Raw genomic sequence first — 23,759 nt, 5'->3', positions numbered from 1 at the left:
ATCATCATGTTTTTTTTTACTCAGAGATTTGATAAACCTTACTTCCATGGTTAGTTGGTGAATTGGAATTACTTGAAAATACAGGCCAGACACGGTGGCTCACACCTATAATCCCAGCACTTTGGGAGGCCAAGATGGGCAGATCTCTTGAGGTAAAGAGTTTGAGACCAGCCTGGCCGACATGTTAAAACCCCATCTCTACTAAAAATACAAAAATTAGCTGGGCGTGGTGGCGGGCACCTGTAATCTCAGCTACTAGGGAGGCTGAGGCAGGAGAATCAATTGAACCTGAGAGGAGGAAGTTGTAGTGAGCCAAGATCATGCCACTGCACTCCAGCCTGGGGAACACAGTGAGACTCTGTCTCAAAAAAAAAAAAAAAAAAAAAACAAAGAAAAGAAAAGAAAATATGGCTATAGAGAGAACATTTCTAGAGCCATACGAAGAAACTATTGTCCCCAAAGAGTGAGAATGGGGTTAGAATGGGAGAAGGACTTTTTTCCATTGGGCATCTGACTTCTGATGTTTGGGGTTCTTTTATCATCTGTGGAATAATGTCATAGTTTTAAAAGAATTCAAAACAGTATTTGTGGATAATCACCCATAATGCCCAGTACTAAGAGGCAAATAGTGTTAACTTTTTTAAATATATTTTTGCAGGTGAGTTTTGTTTGTGTGTGTACACATGTATGTATGCATGCACATCATTATGAATAAATATACATTAGCAAAAATCTTTTCCAACTAATCACTTTTCAATCTACAACCTATTGGAGACATCTTTCTGCATTAGCAACACACAGGCCTACCATGGAGATGTTTTGGGTTTGCTTCTGGCCCACCACAATAAAGCAAGTATTGCAATAATGCAAATCACACAAATTTTTCGGTGCCCTGTTGCATGTAAAAGTTATATTTACAGCTGGGCATGGTGGCTCATGCCTGCAATCCCAGCACTTTGAGAGGCAGAGGCAGGAGGATCACTTGAGGTCAAGAGTTTGAGACCAGCCTGGCCAACTTGGTGAAACTCCGTCTCTACTAAAAATACAAAAATTAGCCAGGCGTGGTGATGAGCATCCAGCTACTTGGGAGGCTGAGGCAGGAGAATCACTTGAACCCAGGAGATGGAGGTTGCAATGAGCTGAGATCACGGCACTGCACCCCAGCCTTGGTGACACAGTGAGACTGTCTCAAAAAAAGAAAATTTTTATTTACACCATAATAGAGTCTATTAAGTGTGCAATAGCAGTATGTCTTAAAAAATGTACATACCTTAACTAAAAATTCTTTATTGCTTTAAAAAAAAAAAAGCTAACGATCATCTGAGCCTTCACCCAGTTGGAATTTTTTGCTGGTGGAGGATCTTGTCTCGATGTTGATGGTTGCTGACTGATTAGGGTGGTGGTTGCTGAAGGCTGGAGTGGCTGTGACAATTTCTTGAAATAAGACAACAGTGATTTTTGTTTGTTTGTTTTTTGTTTTTTGTTTTTGAGATGGAGTCTTGCTCTGTCGCCAGGCTGGAGTGCAGCGGCATGATCTTGGCTCACTGCAATCTCCACCCCCCAGGTTCAAACGATTCTCCTGCCTCAGCCTCCCCAGTAGCTGGTACTAGCATGTTACCACGCCCGGCTAATTTTTGTATTTATAGTAGAGACGGGGTTTCACCATGTTGGCCAGATGGTCTCGATCTCTTGACCTTGTGATCCTCCGGCCTAAGCCTCCCAAAGTGCTGGGATTACAGGCATGAGCCACCACACCCGGCCAACAATGAATTTTACTGCATCAATTGATTCTTCTTTTCATGAATGATTTTTCTGTAGTTGATGATGCTGTTTGATAGCATTTTACCCACAGTAAAACTTTCAAAATTGGAGTAAATCCTCTCAAACCCTGTCACTGCTTAAGCAACTATGTTTATGGAATATTCTCAATCCTTTGTTGTCATTTCAACAATGTTCACAGCATCTTCACCAGGGGTAGATTCCATCCAAGAAACCACTTTCTTTGTCCGTCCATAAGAAGCAGCTCCTCATCTGTTCAAGTTTTCTCATGAGATTGCAGCAATTCAGTCCCATCTTCAGGCTCCACTTCTAATTCTAATTCCAGTTCTCTTGCTATTTCCGCCACATTTGCAGTTGCTTCCTCCACCGAAGGCTCGAACCCCTCAAAGTCATCCATGAGGGTTGGAATCAACGTCTTCCCAACTCCTGTTGTTGATACTTTGTTGATTATTTTGACTTCCTCCCATGAATCATAAATTTTTTACTGGCATTTAGAATGGTGAATTCTTTCCAGAGGGTTTTCAATTGACTTTGCTCAGATCCATCATAGAAATCACTATCTCTGGCAGCAATAGCTTTGCAAGGTGTATTTCTTAAAAAACAAGACTTGAAGCCAGGCATGGTGGCTCACGCCTGTAATCTCAGCACTTTGGCAGGCTGAGGCAGGTGAATCACGAGGTCAGGAGATCGAGACCATCCTGGATAACATGGTGAAACCCCATCTCTACTAAAATACAAAAAATTAGCCGGGCGTGGTGGTGCACACCTGTAGTCCCAGCTACCCAGAAGGCTGAGGCAGGGGAATAGCTTGAACCCAGGAGGTGGAAGTTGCAGTGAGCCGAGATTGTGCCACTGTACTCCAGCTTGGCAAAGAGCAAGACTCTGTCTCAAAAAAAAAAAAAAAAAAAAAAAAAAACAAGACTTGAAAGTACAAATGACTCTTCTTCTTTGATCCATAGGCTGCAAGTGGATGTCATGTTAGCAGGCATGTAAACAACATTAATCTCCTTGTACATCTCCATATCTCCATCGGAGCTCTTGGATGACCAGTTGCATTGTCGATGAACAGTAATATTTTGAAAAGAATCTTTTTTCCTGAACAGCAGATCTCAATAGTGAACTTAAAATGTTTAGTAGGTTGAGCACGGGCTCATGCCTGTGATCCCAGCACTTTGGGAGGCTGAGGTGGGCAGATCACTTGGGCTCAGAAGTTCAAGACCAGCTGGGCAACATGGCAAAACCCCCCTCTACAAAAATTACAAAAATTAGCTGGGCGTGGTGGTATACACCTGTATTCCCAGATACTGGGGAGGCTGAGGTGGAAGGATCACCTGAGCTTGGGAGGTTGAGGCTACAGTGAGCTATGATTGCACCACTGCACTGCAATCTGGGTGACAGAGACTCTGTCTCAAAAAAAACCCAAAAAAGCCCAGTAAATCACGCTGTAAACATTAAAAGATGTGCTGTCATCCAGGCTTTGCTGTTCCATTTGTAGAGCACAGGCAGAGTAGATTTAGCATCATTCTTAAGGGCCCTGGGATTTTCAGAATGGCAAATGAGCACTGGCTTCAACTCAAAGTCACCAGCTGCATTCGCCCCTCACAAGGGATTCAGCCTGTTCTTTGAAGTTTTGAAGCAGGTACTGGCTTCTCTTCTAGCTGTGAAAGTCCTAGATGGCGTGTTTTTCCAAGAGAAGCCTGTTTTGTCTACATTGAACATCTGTTTAGTGTAGCCACCTTCATCGATGAACTCAGCTAGATCTTCTAGAGAACTTACCACACCTTCTCCATCAGCACTTGCTGCTTCACCTTGCACTTTTATGTTATGGAAATGGCTTCTTTCCTTAAATCTCATCAACCAACCGCTTCCAGTTTCCAACTTTTTTTTTTTTTTTCTGCAGCCTCCTCACCTCTCTCAATTTTCATAGAGTTAGGGCCTTGCTCTGGGTCAGGCTTTGGCTTACGGGGCTGTTGTGACTGGTTTGATCTACGCAGACCATTCAGACTTTCTCCGTATCAGCAATAAGTCTGTTTTTACTTCTTCTCCTTCGTGTTTTTACTGGAGTAGCACTCTAATTTCCTTCAAGATCTTTTCCTTTGTATTCACAGCTTGGCTCACTGTTTAGCACAAGAGGCCTAGCTTTCAGCCCCTCTCAACCTGCCTTCCTCACTAAGCTTAATTGTTTCTAGCTTTTTTTTTCTTTTATTATTATTATACTTTAAGTTTTAGGGTACGTGTGCACAACATGCAGGTTTGTTACATATGTACACCTGTGCCATGTTGGTGTGCTGCACCCATTAACTCGTCATTTAGCATTAGGTGTATCTCCTAATGCTATCCCTCCCCCCTCCCCCCACCCCACAACAGTCCCCAGTGTGTGATGTTCCCCTTGCTGTGTCCCTGTGTTCTCATTGTTCAATTCCCACCTGTGAGTGATTTTTATAGCAGCACTATTCACAATAGCAAAGACTTGGAACCAACCTGAATGTCCAACAATGATAGACTGGATTAAGAAAATGTGGTACATATACACCATGGAATACTATGCAGCCATAAAAAATGATGAGTTCATGTCCTTTGTAGGGACATAGATGAAACTGGAAACCATCATTCTCAGCAAACTATCGCAAGAACAAAAAACCAAACACCGCATATTTCTAGCTTTTGATTTAAAGAGGGAGGCATGTGACTCTTCCTTTCACTTGACACCTAGAGGCCATTGTAGGGTCATTAATTGGCCTAATTTCAATACTGCTGTGTCTCAGGGAATGGGGAGGCCTGAGGAGAGGGAGAGAGGGGAATGGCCAGTTGGTGGATTGGTCGGAACACACTCAGCATTTATCAATCGGTTGATGGTGCTCTAAAACAACTACAACAGTAACAGCAAAGATTTCCGATCACAGACCACCATCACAGAACTATTCGTAACAGAAAGGTTTGAAATATGGCAATATTTATCAAAACGTGACAAAAAAACACGAATCAAGCTCATATTGTTGGAAAGATGCCACTGATTCACTTGCTTGATACATGGTTGCCACAAACCTCCAATTTGCAAAAAATGCAATAAAGTGAAGCTAAATAAAATGGCGTGTGCCTATCTCTTCTTTAATGCTGAAGCTGAATGTATTTGGCAGACAATCTGTGATCAAGGAAAGTCCTTTTCCTATTCTAAGGGTATTAGTCAGCTTTTGCTGTGGTAACAAACAACCCCAAAACCTTAACGTCTTCTGATCACAAGCACGTGTTTCTTACGAGACTCAGCGGGCTTCACTGGGCTGGGATCTAGGCTGTGGTCAGAAGCGCTGCCAAGAAGACACCTCCGTGGGTCTCTGTAGAAGTAAAAGTTCCTCTTCAAATTTGCCCTTCTTATTAAAGAATAAATCATAAGTGTTAACAAATAAGTTTCTTTTAAAGACTAACTTCCTTCAAGCCTCCTTGCTTTATGCTAATAACTCTTTGTTAAGCCCTATCCTATGTAGCTGTTAGACATGCTCACAGGCACGTAGTACATTCTATGTCCTTGTACTTTCACCAAAATATTTGTGCTAGACTTGCTCACAGGCCTGTCCCAGCTCGCAGCCCATGCCCCTTCCTTATTTGGGAATGTTATTACTTTTCTAAGTCCTTTTATAAGCAACTTCCTCTTTTCCTCTGTTTTCCATTGCTTTTACCTATTTAGAAAAGTTTTAAAATTATTAGCCAGTCGGGTTTTAGTTTAGATTGTGTGGTCCAGCTCTAGCCAATGGAGACAGGACACAGTAGCAGGCACAAACTGCATAAGGGATAAAAATTGCTTCTCTCCTTTGTTCAGGTGTGCTCTTGCCATTGTTCCATCTGTGATGAGCACCCTTTCTGCAGAAAGTAAAAATTGCCTTACTGAGAGAACTAAATTTATGTTCAAGTGCTATTTCTTTGTGGCACCAGGGAACAAGCATTTCTAACAGTCTCTCCTTCTGAGACTGAGGATGAAGGGGCAGCCATCTCTGGGGTCTGTTCTGCTCAGAGTGGAGATCAGGAGTAAGTGAGGACTGGTGGGCACCTGCACTGCATTCCTTACCACCAGGTCAGGGTGCTCAGTCCCATCCAGGTTCTATTGGCCAAAGCAAGTCATATCATTGGCCAAGGCAACATCAATGGGGCGAATGAGTAAACTTCACCCATGGTGGAATGGCAGGGTGGGGTGGGGGAGTAGAGTCGATATTTGCTGAACAATAATGCAATCCAGTGCACTGCATGAAAAGAAATAAAAAGAGAAGTTGGGATTCTGCTGAATAAGTAATGAGGGCTTTAGAAACCAAGCTGGAACTAGTATTTTGTGGCTGCTACAGTAATTCTTCAGATCTTGCTCCATTTTGTTTTTTGGGCTTGAATTGCTGTGAATGTTAGTGAGTAGAATGTAATTTATATCACGAATAATGACAATGGTGATAGCTGCAAATATCTCACCATTCAGAGCACCTTTTATGAGGATTTCACTTAAATTATCTTATTTAATTCTCACCATAATCTGATGAGATGTTTATCATTATGATTCCCATTTCAAAAATGAGAAAACAGAGGCTTAGAAGATTAAGTTACTTGTCCAAAGTCACACCCTAGTGGGTGACAGTCAGGACTCAAATTCAGTTGTTTGACTTGAAGCCCAAGCATTTCAACACTATAGAGTCCAACACTAGTATTTGAGAAGTGTGTGTGTGTGTGTGTGTGTGTGTGTGTGTATGTGTGTGTGTGGCTTTAATATCCTCCTTCTTCTTGATATAGGAGGGAGGCGGGCTGTGTGCTCTTAGGGAGGGGGCATTACCTGCATGGGTATAATCCCTCCAATGACAGGAGCCATTGGTGAAGGCCCCAACCCCAGGAAAGCTGACCCTGCGTTTCTACATAAAACATGGCCTTGTGGTAAACACTGCTGAGGCCGATCAGTCCTAGCTCTACTTCTCCTTCCCTTCCTGAACACAGAAGGACTACGACCTTTTCCTGCCTCCTTGAGTTAGGCCTGGCTGGTTGCTTTCCTTGGCTGATGGGGTGTGAATGTCAGGGGGTGTGCCACTTCCAGGAGGGAGCATTTAAGAGCTGGTGGGTGATCCCCATCGCCCACTCTTCCTTTGTGGTGACAATTTTGGAGGTTCATGGAGGACAGTTGCTCTGGAGGGTCAGCTTCCCACAGTGAAAAATAAATGACGTGAGAAATCATGTTGTTGTGCTAAGCCACCTGGAGTGGGGGATGTTTGTTACCACAAAATAACTCAGCCCATACTGGCTGACACAGGTCTCCTCTGGCTGCCTGCAGCACTGCTCCCCTCTCCTCTTCTGAGGGTTTGCTCTCCAGTTAGCCTGCAACGTTCTTCCCTTTGATCTACAACTGACCTAGCTCCCCTTTGAGAGCCCAGGCAGGCTCCTTTGCTGGTGTGGGTTGGGGATGGGGTCTCTACTGTGAAAATCACAGCAGAATCCCCAAGGACCCTGCTATCCCCAACTGGGCCAACAGCAGCCCCCAGGCCATCTGACCCTGCAGACAAGTCCCTCTGTGCAGTTAACAGGTTTCGAACTCACATCCTCAGACGAGCATTAGAGTTTGGCTAACAGTGCCCAGAGCTTTAACGGGCACCCAGGCCCTATCTATCAAGCCACTGTGATTTAATCAGCTCCCAGCCTTCCTTGCCTAATTATCATCAGCACTTTACCACAATTTGCTTTGCAGACTGTTTTACAGAAATTTTAGTAGTTATTAATCCCAAGACACAGAGAATAAGGCTGCCAGGTGCTGGAACAAAGCCTTCAGAAGCAAGTCAGAGTTCCGAGTGGAAATTTCTTCAGTCCTGACCTCATGTTGCCACGGTGAGATGCACACATGGCCTCTTCTGTGTCACACAACAGGACCCAACTCAAGAGAGGGAGTACCTATTCTCCCTGACACTTGGTAAGAAGATTCTGAAGCCCCACAAAAGGCCAGATCTACCTAGTTGCTTTCATTTTCTACCCCCGCCTTCAGGTTAATTTGCTATTTTTAAGAACACACGTGGCTGGGAACGGTGGCTCACGCCTGTAATCTCAGCACTTCGGGAGGCCAAGGTGGGCGGATTGCTTGAGGTCAGGAGTTCATGACCAGCCTGGCCAACATAGCGAAATCCTATCTCTACTGAAAGTACAAAAATTAGTCAGGTTTGGTGGCGTGTGCCTGTAACCCCAGCTACTCGGGAGGCTGAGGCAGGAGACTTGCTTGAACCCGGGAGGCAGAAGTTGCAGATCACACCGCTGCACTCCAGCCTGGGCAACAGAGTGAAACTCCCTCTTAAAAAAAAAAAAAATGTGACAATGAAACTCATACCCACAGAAGCCTATGAAGCAATCTAAGCTCTCATTATAGAATTAAAAATAAAACCAGGCCAGGCATGGTGGCTCATGCCTGTAATCTCAGCACTTTGGGAGGCCGAGGCAGGTGGATCACCTGAGGTCAGGAGTTGGAGACCAGCCTGACCAACATGGTGAAATCCCGTCTCTACTAAAAATACAAAATTAGCCAGGCATGGTGGCGCATGCCTATAATCCCAGTTACTCAGGAGGCTGAGGCAGGAGAATCACTTGAACCCGGGAGGCGGAGGTTGCAGTGAGCTGAGATCGCACCATTGCACTCCAGCCTGGGAAACAAGAGCGAAACTCCATCTCAAAAATAAAATAAAATAAAACCAACAATAAAAAAGTTCAGATATGCAAGTAATCTATATTTAGCTGTTATTAAAATTATCAGTTGCTTATTCCAAATTGTCTCTGCATCTTTATCCCACCTTTATGGAGGCCCCATTCTTGTTCTCTTTGAGTTCTTTGCAACAGCAAAGGACGGGCATCTCTGGGTCTGCCAGTCCGTACATCCCTTGCATTAAAAGGCTCTCGGGAAACACATGGAGAGGAGCCGGGGCAAACCACTCTGTGAAAGGCCCTGGTTATAATTCTCTGTAATGTACATTCCTAATTATTATTGGGCCAATTAACTGTTAATGCCAGGGCCTAGAACACAAAGGTTTCTTTAATAAGAGTGTTAATCACTCCTAACTAAGGAGGGTTAGGAGGCTCTCTGTATTTTCCAAGAGTTCAGCCGAAACCTCTCTTGTTCTTTCATTCAGCCCTGCAGCCAACACAGGGATCCCCACTGCAGCCTCCACGCCGGTCACCGGTCATGTTTCACCTTGGCCTGAACCCTTCCCACCAGCCACATGGTTCTCCCGGTGAGACAACCCAGGGTGTTCCTGCGGGAGCCGGACTGGGGGCACCTAAGGGGTGTGCCCAGGTGGCCCACAGGGTAGGAAACACCTCCATAGAGGAACTGCCTCCAACTTTTGATCTTTTGTCCAGCACGTAGTAAGATGAACTGTTGCTACAACGGTGGGCATAGTAAAGGTTCTGTCTTCAAGAAAGAATTTTGGTTGAAACAGGCCTTGCCATGTGCAGGAGAGCAGGTGCAGCTTGCTGTGTGTACAAAGGGTGTGGACAGAGGGGCCATCCAGCAGGCACCCGAGAGTGGCCACAGCAACTGGGAGAGGATATACGGCAGTGCAGACAGCAGTTTCATGCTGTAGAGGCATTGTAGGAAATGCAGGAGTTTTTACTCTTGTTCTCAGATTTCTGAAATTCTTTTAAAATGAGTCTTAAACGCCTTAACCCCTCCTTACAAGCCATCAAAATTCTTGAATCTGAAAGTGCACCCCGAATGTAATGCAGCTCGGGCCACTGAACTTGTGGCACGGCCAGTTCTTTGTATTGAACCCGAATCATCACTTTAAAGTTCCATTGATGTTACTTTTGTCCCAACAGGAGCTGTGCAAAGTCTAATCCAACCTTCACAGGCCATTGTTCTCAGTGATCTTGATGGCAACCCTAATGCCACCTCCAGCCTTCTATTTCCAGATGCAATACCTGCAATTCTCTCAACCAGTTGTGATAACAGCAATAGCTGACATTTGCTGAGGATCTATTATGTGGCAGGCTCTGTGCCAAGCCTCACTCTATGTGAGATTTCATTTACCCTCATTTCATAAGACCCAATGAAGACACGCTATTGTTGTCCCTAGGATTTTTTTTGTTTTAGTTTTTGTTTTTTTTGGGACAGAGTCTCACTTTGTTGCCCAGGCTGGATTGCAGTGGCACAATCTTGGCTCACTGCAGCCTCTACCTCCCGGGCTCAAGTGATTCTCCTGCCTCAGCCTCCCAAGTAGCTGGGATTACAGGCATGCACCGCCACGCCTGGCTAATTTTTGTATTTTTAGTAGAGACAGGGTTTCCCCATGTTAGCCAGGCCGGTCTCGAACTTTTGACCTCAACTGATCTGCCCCCCTTGGCCTCCCAAAGTGCTGGAATTACAGGCGTGAGCCACCGTGCCCAGCCTGCTGTCCCTATTTAACAAGGAATCTGGGACTCAGCATGTCCAGGTAAGCCCCTTAGCATCATAGAGATGGTACACTTGGCAGAGAGGGGACCAGGGCTCCAGGGCTCCATGTGCCATGTCCCCACGCAGTCAGGGCCAGCTCCCAGCTCTCCTCTACCCACCCCCGACCCCCAGCCAGCCTCTCCATGAGGCTGTTCCCATTCTCAGTGTTCCAAAGTGTGAAATGAATTCTTCCGCTGGCCTGTCTTGCCACAAACACAAGGACAGCACGATGTTCTGTTTGTTCTGCGGAGAGTGTGAGGGTGGGGTGGTTTTAAAGTCCAAAAAGTCACAGGGGCACAATTCGCATCCACTGATGTTGTGCGGAACACAAATCAGAGAGATTCTGGAATCTAGGAAGCCTGGCTCAGACTCCTCCTCCTCCCTCCTCCTCCCTCCTTCTCCTCCCTCCTCCTCCTCCCTTCTCCTCCTCCTCCCAAAGCCTGGGCTTGGACCCACTCCCACCTTGCAGAGGCAGCTGGGATAGAACTGGGCATGGAGAGAGGGGCATGGACTGACAGGGGGGAGGTTGCTCTTTTTATTTTTAGAGTCTGTCTTGACAAACATCGGTTAACCTATTATGCTGTTATTTTCATAATAACAATGAAGAATGTAAGTATTAGTTAATAATCAATCAACAGTAATGGAATTACAATAATAGTGCAGTGAGAATGAACATGGGAAAGCCTGACTCTCCAGCATCCTAGTTGCAGCCCTGGATTGTTTCCAACGTCTGCACTCTCTCCAGGGACGTTTGGTGGAGCTTGGGACGCTGTGGTGGGACGATGAAGGACACGCCTGGTGAGGCGGCTGTGCCCTCTCATGCAGCCCCCGCCAGCCTCTGAACTTCCACTGCCATAGAAACAGCCGACGGCTGGCTCCCACCTCACTTTAGTAGAGGAAGTTGACAGAGGAAGAGCCAGGGGCTGAGGGAGCTGTGCAGGGGGGCCTTCCCAGGGCACAGCTCCCCGAGGTGCATGAGCTCATTCTGAGAGGAGCCCAGACCACCCAGGGAACAACAGGGCAGTAGGGGGACCACCAGGTGACTGCAGGGACCAGGCAGATGGGGAAGAACTGATGGTGATTTGCAAACGACTCAAGGCTGGGAGATGCTGGGAGTGAGGACTGCACAGCTGCCAAGCTGGGGGTTCCCACTCTGCCCGACTGCCCAATCCTGCGAGCTGCACTAGCTCTGGTGCTCGATCCTGCGAGCTGCACTAGCTCTAGTTTATCTATTAGAGCCGGCCTCTAGGCCAGGGGCCTGCCCTGGGTGGTGGGGTGGGTGGTTATGGGACCCCAAGAGAGACAGTTTCTGGGGGGAAGAGTGGAGGCTGTGGCGAAGCTTAGAGGATGAGGGAGTGGGACCTGGGGTTCCGGGGATCCCTGCTGGCTCCAGCCTGCATAGCCTGGGAATGGCCTCCTGCCTCAGATCCCCCAAACCCAGCCAGAGAGGGAGGGATGGACTGAGTAGAGGCAGCATCCTGTTTTGTTATAATAGAGCAAACCCTATCTAAACCCTGTAGTTATGTACTCTGCATCCTGCACTCCAAAGAAATGAATGTAATCGTCTCCAACAAAATGATCCCCTTGGTACACTTTGCATTTGGCCTCAGGGTAGATTCCTATAAGGAATGAGATGCTTAGGGGAGGCTGTCCAGGGGAGAAGGCCTTGGGTCTCTTGTCAAAAAAAAGTCAAGTAATTTACCATTTGCCATTTTCTTTTGACTTTTATATTGCCTATTCCATTTAGAATTAATTTCCTTAACTGTGACCTGGGGAAGGGCAAAGGGAGGCCTTTTTAAAAGTGGGAAACTGACCAAGTGGCTCCATATCCTTCCCAGACAGCACCAGTAGACCCTGTTCATTGCTTTATCGATCATTTACTTAAAAAACGTCCCACATTGCCTTCAGAGAAGTGAACGCATAGAAGTTGATTTTTTTTTTCTTTTTCTTTTTGAGACAGTCTTCTTCTGTCACCCATCTGCCTCCTGGGTTCAAGCCATTCTCGTGCATCAGCCTCCTGAGTAGCTGGGATTATAGGCGCACACCACCATGCCCGGCTAATTTTTGTATTTTTAGTAGAGATCAGAGATGGGTTCAAGCCATTCTCGTGCATCAGCCTCCTGAGTAGCTGGGATTATAGGCGCACACCACCATGCCCGGCTAATTTTTGTATTTTTAGTAGAGATGAGGTTTCACCATGTTGGCCAGGCTGGCCTCTGACTCTTGACCTCAAGTGATCCGCCTGCCTCCGCCTCCCAAAATGCTGGGATTACAGGCGTGAGCCACCGCGCCTGAGCAAAGTTGATTCTTCTAACGAAAATAAACTTTGGACCTTGGGGATAAATTCAATCACTGTGCCCCTTAAGAGGATTTTCACAGAGCGCATCGTAGCAGAGTGCATTTGGCCAGATGCACGCGGTGCAGCATCTGGCAGGGCCTGGTTTTTGTCTAGAAAGCAGTCAGCCCGCACCTCCTTTCTGTGCTGGATTCTGAGCCCAGAGGCCGGCATGTAACTCGCCCCAGGAGCAGCTCTGCCACATTTCTTACATGGAACTGGTTTGGAAACCGGGCCTGAGTCCCAACCTTTACCGGCTCCACTCTGCAAATGTGGAGGGTTGCTGGGCTCAGGAAACAACAAGGCAGGTAAAATACAGCCCCTCCCCGCGAGGAGGAGCAAGCGCAGCTGAGGGCAGGATCTCGGGGAACTGGCCCTACCTGGGCGGGGCAACAGTGGAGCCAGGAGAACTGGGAAGTTCTCTGAAGGGAGTGGATGTGCGAGCCAGTCTTAAGAGGGGATGAGGAAGGAGCAGGGTGAGAAGGTCGGCACCTCCAAGGGGCCGTTTACCCAGAGGAGGGGTTTGGATCTGACGCGGAAGGGATGGAAGCCAGACAGGAGTGAAAGCCAGGTGCAGTTTGAGGCCAGGCCAAGAGCTCCAGGGCTGGTGAATGAGGCAGGCGTAGGGGCTGAAGGAGATTCAAAATCAGCAACAGATGGATGACGGCAGGCCCCAGCAGGATAGGTGGAGAGACAAGCGGGACCCAAGGCAGGTGGAGGAGGCTGATTCTGAAGGGCTCGGAGATGTGAGAGCTGGTGGCGGAGCAACAGGGGTCCAGGATACCTCCGGGGTCCTCGCTTAGGGCACTAAGGTGACAGTACTGCCACCCCTGCCCCCAGCAGGGAGCGTGGAGGGAAACAAGCACTGTGGAATGTTGAGCTCTCTTTCAGATGTGCTGAGACTGGAGTCCTAGTGAGGTGACCAGACGTGGACGTCCAAGTGGGGCACTTAGCAGAGGCTGCGCTGCAGAGCAGACGTGGCTGTGGACAAGGCCACCTATGAAAACTGGGAACTGCGAGAAGGGAGAAGGTCAGGGACAGAGCTGGGCTGACCCCAGTGTTTCGGGGGGCCCACAGAAGGGTGCTCAAAGTAGGCGTGAGACACGTGGAGACCCAGGATGCTTCTGAAGGTGTGTAAGGGGAAGGTGTGCGCATGCCGGGCGGTGGGGAGTCAGCCACTCGGAGGCCACTGACGGAAACCCCACCGTTTTGGAAATGGCCCTTGGTTGATCAAACAAATGTTTACTGTGCCAGGCACATCCAACTGTGTTTGGCAATAGCATTCCTGCAACAGCAAAAATATTTCTAAACCCCAATGCATTGTGCTCATCTCTGGCAGCTTTAAGACTGTTCACATCATGGTAATATTTGGGTGGACAATGTCTGGCAGCACAGCTCCCCACCTGCATGCACATGCATGGAAAGTACAACCGTGTATGCTTTTTCATAAACAGGACTGTGTGCGATGCTGTGCGTACTTTTTCATGAACAGGACTGTGTGCGATGCTGTGCGTGTTTTTTCATGAACAGGACTGTGTGCGATGCTGTGCGTGCTTTTTCATGAACAGGACTGTGTGCGATGTCCTATACTGCACTTCTGCCACTCAGTGAGGGATCGGGGTCCTCTTTTTTGTGTCTGTAAATTGAGATCTACGTCCCCATTTGCGTCAGCTGCATAGTATTCCATTGTTTTCCCGTGTTGCATTTTATTTGTGCTGAGCACTTATATTTGTGAGATTAATCCATTTTTGAGATCCATCCACATGTTGTGTAGTAATAGTGCATTCACTCTGTTGCCATGAGGATGGCATGATTTGTTCATTCATAGCACTGTTGACAGGCTTTTGGGTGCTGTATTAGTGAGCAGGGTTCTCCAGAGAGACAGCACCAACAGTGTACATTTACACACACTCACACACACACACACACACACAGAGGGAGAAAGAGAGAGAACGAGAGAGTGAGCAAGCATGAGAGCCAGAGAGGGGCTTCGTTATGGGAATTGGATTAGACTATGATGGAGGCTGAGAAGTCTCAGGACCTCCTGTGCAAGCGGGAGAACCAGGGAAGTCGATAGCATGGCTCACCCCAAGCCAAAGGCCTCAGAACCAGGGGGGCAATAGTGTTGCTCTCAGTTTGAGGCCAAAGGCCTGAGAACCTGGAGCTCTGATACCCAAGGCCAGGAGAAGACAGGTGTCCCAGATCCAGAAGAGACGGCAAATGTGCCCTTCCTTTGCCTTTCTGTTCTATCCGGGCCCCCAGCTGATTGGATGGCACCTGCTCACGTTGAGTGAGGGTGGATCTTCTTAGTCCACGGATTCAAATGCCAATATCTTCTGGAAACACTCTCACAGGCCACACCCAGAGAGAATGCTTTACCGGCCATATGGTCATCCCTTCACCCAGTCAAGTGGACAGCCAAAATCAACCATCACAGCTATTAATACTTTCCAGACTGGGGAGGTTATCAACCTACGTACAGGTGATCTCCTTCAGGCACAAATACCTTGGCGACGATGTGATTATGTCCTTAGAATAACTTAGAATTGAGTTTCCTGGATTCCTACACTTTTCCCTTTGACACCTGTGGCCATGCTGCAGTCACCTTGCTTGCAACGTTTTTTTTTTTGTTTGTTTTTTGTTTTTTGTGAGATGGAGTTTCACTCTTGTCACCCAGGCTGGAGTGCAATGGCACAATCTCAGCTCACTGCGACCTCCACCTCCCACGTTCAAACTATTCTCCTGACACAGCCTCCCAAGTAGCTGGGATTACAGGCACCTGCCACCATGCCCAGGTAATTTCTGTATTTTTAGTAGAGACGGGGTTTCATTATGTTGGCCAGGCTGGTCTCGAACTCCTGGCTTCAAGAGATCTGCCTGCCTCAGCCTTCCAAAGTGCTGGGATTACAGATGTAAGCCACTGCGCCTGGCCGCTTGCTACTTCTTACACGTCACCCAGTCCTGCGGGCTCCCCTGTTCTCACGTCCTGGAAGACACTGGGGTGCATCTGTCTTTGCTCCTCTGTTTGCAGAAAAGGAAATAAACAGTTTTGATTTTATTTCATCATCTTGAATTATCAATAAATAAATATATTAATGCACAGCCATGTCATCACCACACTATCCAGATAAAAAGCAGTTCCATCGCCCCCAAAATTCCCTCCTGCTGCTTCTCTGCAGCTTCTCTCCAACCCAAACCCTAGCAACCACTGATCTCTTCTCCATGCCGAGGGCTTTGCGTTTTCCAGAATATTTTATCAGTGAGATCACTCAGTAAGCAGCCTTCTTCCTGATGCTGCCTTATTTCTCATGGCACAACGTATTTGAAATTCAGCCACCTTGTTGCATGTGTCCAGAGATGTTCCTTTTTATTGCTGAGCAGTGTTCACTGAAGGATATTCATCTGGGTTGTTTCTATGTTTTGGTTTGGCAATTATGAATAAATCTGCTATAAACATTCAGACAAGTTTTAGTGTGAACACAGACTTTTCATTTCTTTTGGGTAAATACATAGGTTGTATATATTAAGGATATGCTTAATTTTCTAAGGAACTGTCAAACCTTCTTTTTTTTTCTTTCAGAAATGAAGTCTCACTCTGTGGCCCAGGCTGGAGTGCAGTGTCACAATCACAGCTCACTGCAGCCTCGAACCCCTGGGCTCAAGTGATCCTCCCGCCTCAACCTGCCAAGTAGCTGGGACTCATAGGCACGTGCCACCATGCCTGGTTAATTTTTTTTTTTTAATTTTATGTTTTAGAGACAGGGTCTTACTATGTTAACCAGACTGGTCTCAAATTCCTGGTCCCAAGCCATCCTCCTGTCTCAGCCTCCCAATTAGCTGAGACTATAGGAACAAGCCACCATATCTGGCTGGTTAAATCTTCAATTCATCTGAAATTTATTTTGCTACGAGAAGTTGGCTAGAGATTTAGCTATATTTTTCAAAAATTGCTAGGCTTGTACTACGACACCATATATTGAATAGTCCTTCTTTCTATACATTTTTAAAAGCATATTTATGATCGCTAAATTTCCTCCCAGTTTCCCTCCCTCCTTCCCCCCCGCCTTCCTTTGCTAAAAGCATACTGAGCACGTACCAAGAGCCAGGCTCCGTGTAAGTGCTGCAGATCCAGGTGAGCAGGAGCGAGTTAACAGGTTTTGTTGTTTCATTGTTTTGAGACAGGGTCTCACTCCCGTTGCCCAAGCTGGACTTCAGTGGCACAACCACGGCTCACTGCAGCCTCCACTTCTGGGCTTAGCTGATTCTGTCATCTCAGCCTCCCACTAGCTGGGTCTATAGGTGTGTGCCACCATGTCTGGCTAATTGTGTTTGTATTATTATTATTATTATTATTTTTGTAGAGAGGGGGTCTCTCCACATTGCCCAGCCTGGTCTTGAACTCCTAGGCTGGAGCAATCCTTCAGCCTTGGCCTCCTAAAGTGCTGGGATTACAGGTGTAAGCCACCACACCTGGCCTGAGAGAGTTAAGATGTACTGGTTGACAAGATGCTCTGAAGCACATGGCACTGGCACACAGATCGTATTTCAGCTTTGCTGTAAAAGTTGAGTGACAGTTGATAGACAGTCAAAGAGGCATGGTGGGAATGGGAAAACAGAGGAAAGAGAGAGCCTGGCATTGTGAAAACTTGAAAGAAGATCATCATGGCTGGAGCACAGAATGCAGGCAATGAGTAACCTGGTTTTATTTCCGATGGGTCACTTGCTCTATCAGTCTATTTCTGTGCCTGTTACACACTTGGTAATTATCACAGCTTCTTGGTATATTTAAGCTTGAGTAGGGCCGGTCTCCTTTGCTGCTCTCTTTGAAGGTTTTCCTTGCTATTCTCTTTTTTTTTTTTTTTTTTTTTTTTTATTGAGACAGAGTCTGGCTCTGTCGCCCAGGCTGGAGTGCAGTGGTGCAATCTCGGCTCACTGCAAGCTCCGCCTCCCGGGTTCACACCATTCTCCTGCCTCAGCCTCCCGAGTAGCTGGGATTACAGGTGCCCGCCACTACGCCCAGCTAATTTTTTGTATTTTTAGTACAGACCAGGTTTCACTGTGTTAGCCAGGATGGTCTCGATCTCCTGACCTCGTGATCCACCCACTTCGGCCTCCCAAAGTGCTGGGATTACAGGCGTGAGCCATTGTGCCGGGCCTGTTTTCCTTGCTATTCTAAAGTCAACTTTTATCAAAGTCTAGCATATCTATAAAAAATGCATAAATCATAAGTGCATGACTTGATGGATTTTCACAAACTGAACACATCCATGTGAGCAGACCCAGATCAGGAAACAGAGCACTCAGCATCTAGAGCTTTTCCTCATGTTCTCCCCAAGTCCCAGCTGCCAACACTACAGATTACGTTTGCCTATTACTCAACCTTCTACAAATGTGATTTTACAGTACCTTCCTATACAAAGTGTAAAGCTTCTTTCACTTAAAATGGTAACAGTGAGATTAATTCCCACTTTTGCATGTAGCAACAGTTCCTTCATCTTTATTGCTGATCAGTATTTCATTCATTTATTCTTTCATTTCACTGTTGATGGAGTTTTGGGTGATGTTTTAGTCCGTCCAGGGTGCGATGGACTAAATACCATAGACTGGGTGGCTTAAACAACAAAAGTTTTCTTCTTACAGTTCTAGAGGCTGAGAAGTCCAAGCTCAAGGTGCTGGCGGATTCTGCATCTGGTGAGGGCCCACTTCCTGGTTCAGAGATGGCGTCTTCTCTCTGTGTTCCCCACAGATGACAGAGAGAAAGGAGCTCTCTCGGGACTCTTTTAAGGGCATGAATCCCATTCTCAGGTGCTCCACTCTTAAGACCTCAATGAATCCTAATGACCTAACAAAGACCCCACCTCCTAATGCCACCAAATTAGGGGGTAGGATTTCAACATACGAATTTTGGGGAGACACCAATAATCAGTCCATAACAGATGGTTTCTGGTTTTGCCACAGAATGAATGCTACGTCTCTTTATTTATTTATTTATTTTTGAGACAGGGTTTTGCTGTCTCCCAGGCTGGAGGGCAGTGGCGCGATCGTGGCTCACCGCAGCCTCTAACCACCCAGGTTGAAGTGATCCTCCTGCCTCAGGCCCCTCTGAGTAGCAGGGACTACAAGCACTTGCCACCATGCACGGCTGATTTTTGTATTTTTTTAAGAGGCAGGGTCTTGCTGTGTTGCCTAGACTGGTCTCAAATTCCTGACCTCAAATGATCCTCCCATCTTAGTCTTGAAAATTTTTGGGATTACAGGTGTGACCACCATGCCTGGCTGCTATGCATCCTTTTTTTTTTTTTTTTTTTTTTGAGGTGGAGTTTCGCTCTTGTTGCCTAGGCTGGAGTGCAACGGCGCAATCTCGGCTCACCGCACCCTCCGCCTCCCGGGTTCAAGCCATTCTCCTGTCTCAGCCTCTTGAGTAGTTGGGATTACAGGCATGTGCCAACATGCCTGGCTAATTTTGTATTTTTAGTAGAGACAGGGTTTCTCCATGTTGGTCAGGCTGGTCTCGAACTCCCAACCTCAGGTGACCTACTTGTCTCAGCCTCCCAAAGTCCTGGGATTACAGGCGCGAGCCACTGTGCCCGGCCTGCTGTGCATCTTTTGATGCACATATACACTCATTCCTCTGGAGTGTCTCCCTCCAAGCAGACCTGCTGGGTCATAGTAGACACTGCCAACATATTTTCAGGCAGCTGTGCCAATTCACACTACCAACAGCAGTACATGCGCGTGTCCATGGCCCCATGGCATGGTCTCCCATTGTCATTTTAGCCAATCAGGTGTCAGAGGTATTTCGCTGTCAGTTTATTTTGCATGTTTCTCTGATGACAAATAAAATTGGGGACCTTTTCATACGCTCACAGGCCATCTTGATAGGTTCTTTTTTGAGGTCCTTGTTCAAGTCTTTCACCCACTTTATACATGGACTTGTCTTTATCTTTTTAATTTATTCTTTTATATTTTCTAGACATAAATATTTTACCAGTCAGATAAACTGCATGTCAAGTTAAAAAAAAATCCTGCCATGATTGTGTTTAGGACTATGTTGGATTTTATGATCTATTGAGGAAGAGTTGCCGCCTTGCAGTAGCGTCTCCCTATTCAAGAACAGCAAGGTCAGCAGCACTTACGTCAGTAAGAATTACTTCTTGGCCAGGTGCAGTGGCTCATGCCTGTAATCCCAGCACTTTGAGAGGCTGAGGTGGGTGGATCACTTGAGGTCAGGAGTTGGAGGCCAGACTGGCCAACATGGTGAAACCCCATCTCTCCTAAAAACACAAAAATTAGCTGGATGTGGTGGTGGGTGCCTGTAATTCCAGCTACTTGGAAGACTGAGGCAGGAGAATCAGTTGAACCTGGGAGGCGGAGGTTGCAGTGAGCCGATATCACGCCACTGCACTCTAGCCTGGGTGATAGAGCTAGGCTCTGTCTCAAAAAAAAAAAAAATTACTTCTTGCAAGGTGTGTGGTTCTGAGTAGATTACATAAGTTTGTCCATTTAACTTTCTCAGCAAGATGGTGCTGCTTCCACTTCCGTTTGAGGTATGAAAATGGAGAAAAAGGCCAGGCGTGGTGGCTCATGCCTATAATCCCAGCACTTTGAGAAGCCAAGGTGGGCAGATCATGAGGTCAGGAGTTTGGGACCAGCCTGGCCAACATGGAGAAACCCCATCTCTACTAAAAATACAAAATTAGCTGGGTGTGGTGGTGCACGCCTGTAATCCCAGCTACTTGGGAGGCTGAGGCAGAAGAATCACATGAACCCAGGAAGCAGAGTTTGCAGTGAGCCAAGATGGTGCCACTGCACTCCAGCCTGGGCAACAGAGTGAGACTCCGTCTAAAAAAAAAAAAAAAAAAAAAAAAAAGAAAAGAAAGTGGAGAAAAAGAGAGGATAGGGAACTTGCCTACATCCAACCAATTCATAGGTGGTAGAACTGGGATTTGAAACCAGGCAGTTTGTCTTAACAGTCCCTCTTCTTAATCACAATCTTATGCTTGTTTTTTGTTCATTCTACTTTTTTTTTCTTTTCCTCAAGAAGGTTTTTAGTTTGTTTTTTCTTATAGGCCTAGGAATATTGTTATTATATTTGTCTTGGCATATTTTTCCTTTTGTCTTGTTGATACCAGGAGTTATGGTTTTATTTTTCTTTGTATTTCCGATGTGTTGTTTGTGTGAAGAAAAGCTAGTGCTTTCGAACAGTCTTACTAAACTCCTCCATGAACTTTCAGTTTCAGTTTATTTCCTTAGGTTTTTAATCAAGAAAATCATAGCACCTCCTGAAATGGTAAATTTGCCTCCTCTTTTCCAATGCTTATTTTTCTTGTTTAATTTTCTTATTCGATTGCATTGGCTAGCATTTTAGAGAAATGTTAAGTTCTGGTAATGTTAGCAGTGTCACAGTTCTGGTTCCTGAATTGAATGAGGGAAATTCAGCCTTTCATATTGGACACAGTGCTGGTTTGATATACAAAATTGAATAATACTAAAATATTCTCAAGCAGTTTCTTTTTTTTAACCAAGAAATTTTATTTGATCAAACATATTTCCTAATAGGTTTGCTAATATTGAAATATTCCAGCATCACTTGGACAAACCTTGCTTAGTCACAGCGTGCTGTTTTTGTAAAGCCTTGATGTATTCTGCCTGTTGATCATTTTAAAAGTTTTGCTTATGGCCGGGTGCGGTGGCTCACACCTGTAATCCCAGCACTTTGGGAGGCTGAGGCGGGCGGATCACGAGCTCAGGAGATCGAGACCATCCAGGCTAACGTGGTGAAACCCCATCTCTACTAAAAATACAAAAAAATTAGCCGGGCGTGGTGGCGGGCACCTGTAGTCCCAGCTACTCCGGAGGTTGAGGCAGGAGAATGGTGTGAACCCAGGAGGCGGAGTTTGCAGTGAGCCAAGATTGTGCCACTGCACTCCAGCATGGGCGACAGAGCAAGACTCCATCTCAAAAACAAAAAACAAACAAACAAAAAAACAGTTTTGCTTATTTCGTTGCTTGGCCAAAAACCCCAAGGGTCTTTGAGTTGGTTATAATGGGATCTTCTGATTGCCCTGCCCTCCCCTCCCCTCCCCTCCTCTTCCCTCCCCTTCCTGTCCTTTCCCTTCCCTTCTCTCCTTCTCTCTCTCTCTCTTTCTTCCTTTCTTTTTGAGACAATCTACCCTCTGTTGCCCAGGCTGGAGTGCAGTGGCATGATCTCAACTCACTGCAACCTCCACCTCCCCAGGTTCAAGCGATTCTCATGCTTCAGCCTCCCGAGCAGCTGGGATTACAGGCATGCACCACCATGCCCGGGTGATTTTTGTATTTTTAGTACAGACGGCATTTCACTGTGTTGGCCAGGCTGGTCTGTAACTCCTGACCTCAAGTGATCCACCCGCCTTGGCCTCCCAAAGTGCTGGGATTACAGGCATGAGCCACCGTGCCTGGGCAATATGTTTCATTTCCCAATAATAGCATCAAGTTGCTGATATTGATTTGGATGAGCTGAACCCTCTCCCGCCTTGAGGTTCCTTCACAGGAGCCTCAACTCACATGGTCTGCTGGTGACTTCAGGCGTCCTGACCCATGACACAAGACAGGTTTTTTTCCTGTTTGTTTTGTTTTGTTTTGTTTTGTTTATCTGTTTGTTTTGAGACAGAGTCTTCCTGTGTCACTCAGGCTGGAGTGCAGTGACGCGATCTCAGCTCACTGCAACCTCTGCCCCCCAGGTTCAAGGGATTCTCGTGCCTCAGCCTCCAGAGTAGCTGGGATTACAGGCACCCGCCACCATGCCTGGCTAATTTTTTGTATTTTTAGTAGAGATGGGGTTTTGCCATGTTGGCCAGGCTGGTCTCAAACTCCTGACCACAGGTGATCCGCTCGCCTCGGCCTCCCAAAGTGCTAGGATTATAGGCATGAGCCACCGTGCCTGGCCCACAAGACAGTTTTTAATATAGTAGTGCCCCCTATCCATAGTTTTACTCTCTGTGGTCTCAGTTACCCCAGGTCAACCAAGGCATGGAAATATTAAATGGAAAATCTCATCAATAAACAATTAATAAGTTTTAAGCTGTGTGCTGTTCTGAGCAGTGTGATGAAATCTCAGGGCATCCGGCCCCATCCCTCCCTGGATGTGAACCATCCCTTTGTCCAGTGTCTCCATGCAGCCTACACTACCTGCCCGGCCGGATCGTGAGATAGAAAAATAGTAATATACCGGGGTCAGTACTATCTGCAGTTTCGGGCATCCACTGGGGGGTCTTCGAAGTATCCCCTGTAATAAGGGTTGGGGGGGCACTGTATTATTTTGGGTTTCCCCTCAATGCTTTCCCTGAAACAAGGACTTGGATGCAGGCTCCTCCATTTGAGAGTTGACTCCAGGGAGCAGGAGTGAGGGAGCAGCGGAAGGGAGATGCAGAAGGAGGCCATCTCCAAATAAAGGTATTTTGTCCCGGACCCTGCTGTAAGCAACGGAGGCTCCAAAGGCCCTTCCTAGAAGCCAGAGAATGTGCCCCAGCAGGACTGTTCACCTGCTGGAGGGAGGCAGAGCAGCAACCTCTCCCAGCCTCCCAGCTCTGCTTCCACAAGGACTGGAAGTGGCCCCTCGGGGAATGAACTCCTCCATCCTACAGGATGCCCTGCACCCCCAAGGGAGGCCTGGGAGAAGGTGGATGACACCCTTGTTCCGGACGTGGGCCTCAAGGGAAGAGCTCATGGCCTGGCTGGGAAGCCTGGCAGACCCTGTCCCGCAGCTTTCCCTCCTGCCTGCTGCTCCCCACATCCTCCCGCTCCAGTGCAGCAGGAAAAGCTTCAGACCATCCCCTCTCATCAGCTCAGATTCCAGGAGAAACAAACTCTCCCTCCAATCTCCCAGGTGGCAGCCAAGATGCTTACGTTCAAAGTCCCAGGAGGCTTTTCTCAGCAAATCCATCCACATAAGCTCATGGAAAATTAATGGAGAGGAATAAAAATCCACAGTAAGCTAGAGGCGAGACGTGAGAGGCACTTCTGCACAGGAGTGAGAGGACATGTAAAATCTGGGAATCCTTACAGCATCAGGTTTATGTGATTGAATTAGAAGTTGTCACAAAATTGTGGAGAAATGAGTGAATTTTCCAGTATTTGACATGGGCGGGAACAGGACGGAAGTGGACCTCTTGCTGTAGTGGAAAACAAGTAGGAAAAAAATGGCAAAAGCACGGGAGAATCTGGCAGGGATGAGGGGAT

General features: G+C 46.8%; 1 annotated feature.

The window, feature by feature from the left end:
* Positions 10,784–11,283: an enhancer, noted in NCBI's record as "H3K4me1 hESC enhancer chr11:70979141-70979640 (GRCh37/hg19 assembly coordinates)". NCBI's record gives its function as "activates a minimal SCP1, AML or CMV promoter by ChIP-STARR-seq in primed H9 embryonic stem cells {active_cell/tissue: H9 hESC(primed)}" and the evidence as "EXISTENCE:reporter gene assay evidence [ECO:0000049][PMID:30033119]".

This window comes from Homo sapiens, chromosome 11, assembly GCF_000001405.40.
Source record: "Homo sapiens chromosome 11, GRCh38.p14 Primary Assembly".
Lineage (NCBI taxonomy): Eukaryota > Metazoa > Chordata > Mammalia > Primates > Hominidae > Homo > Homo sapiens.
The sequence above is the reverse complement of the archived record's forward strand: the minus strand, read 5'-3'. Positions and strand labels throughout refer to the sequence as shown.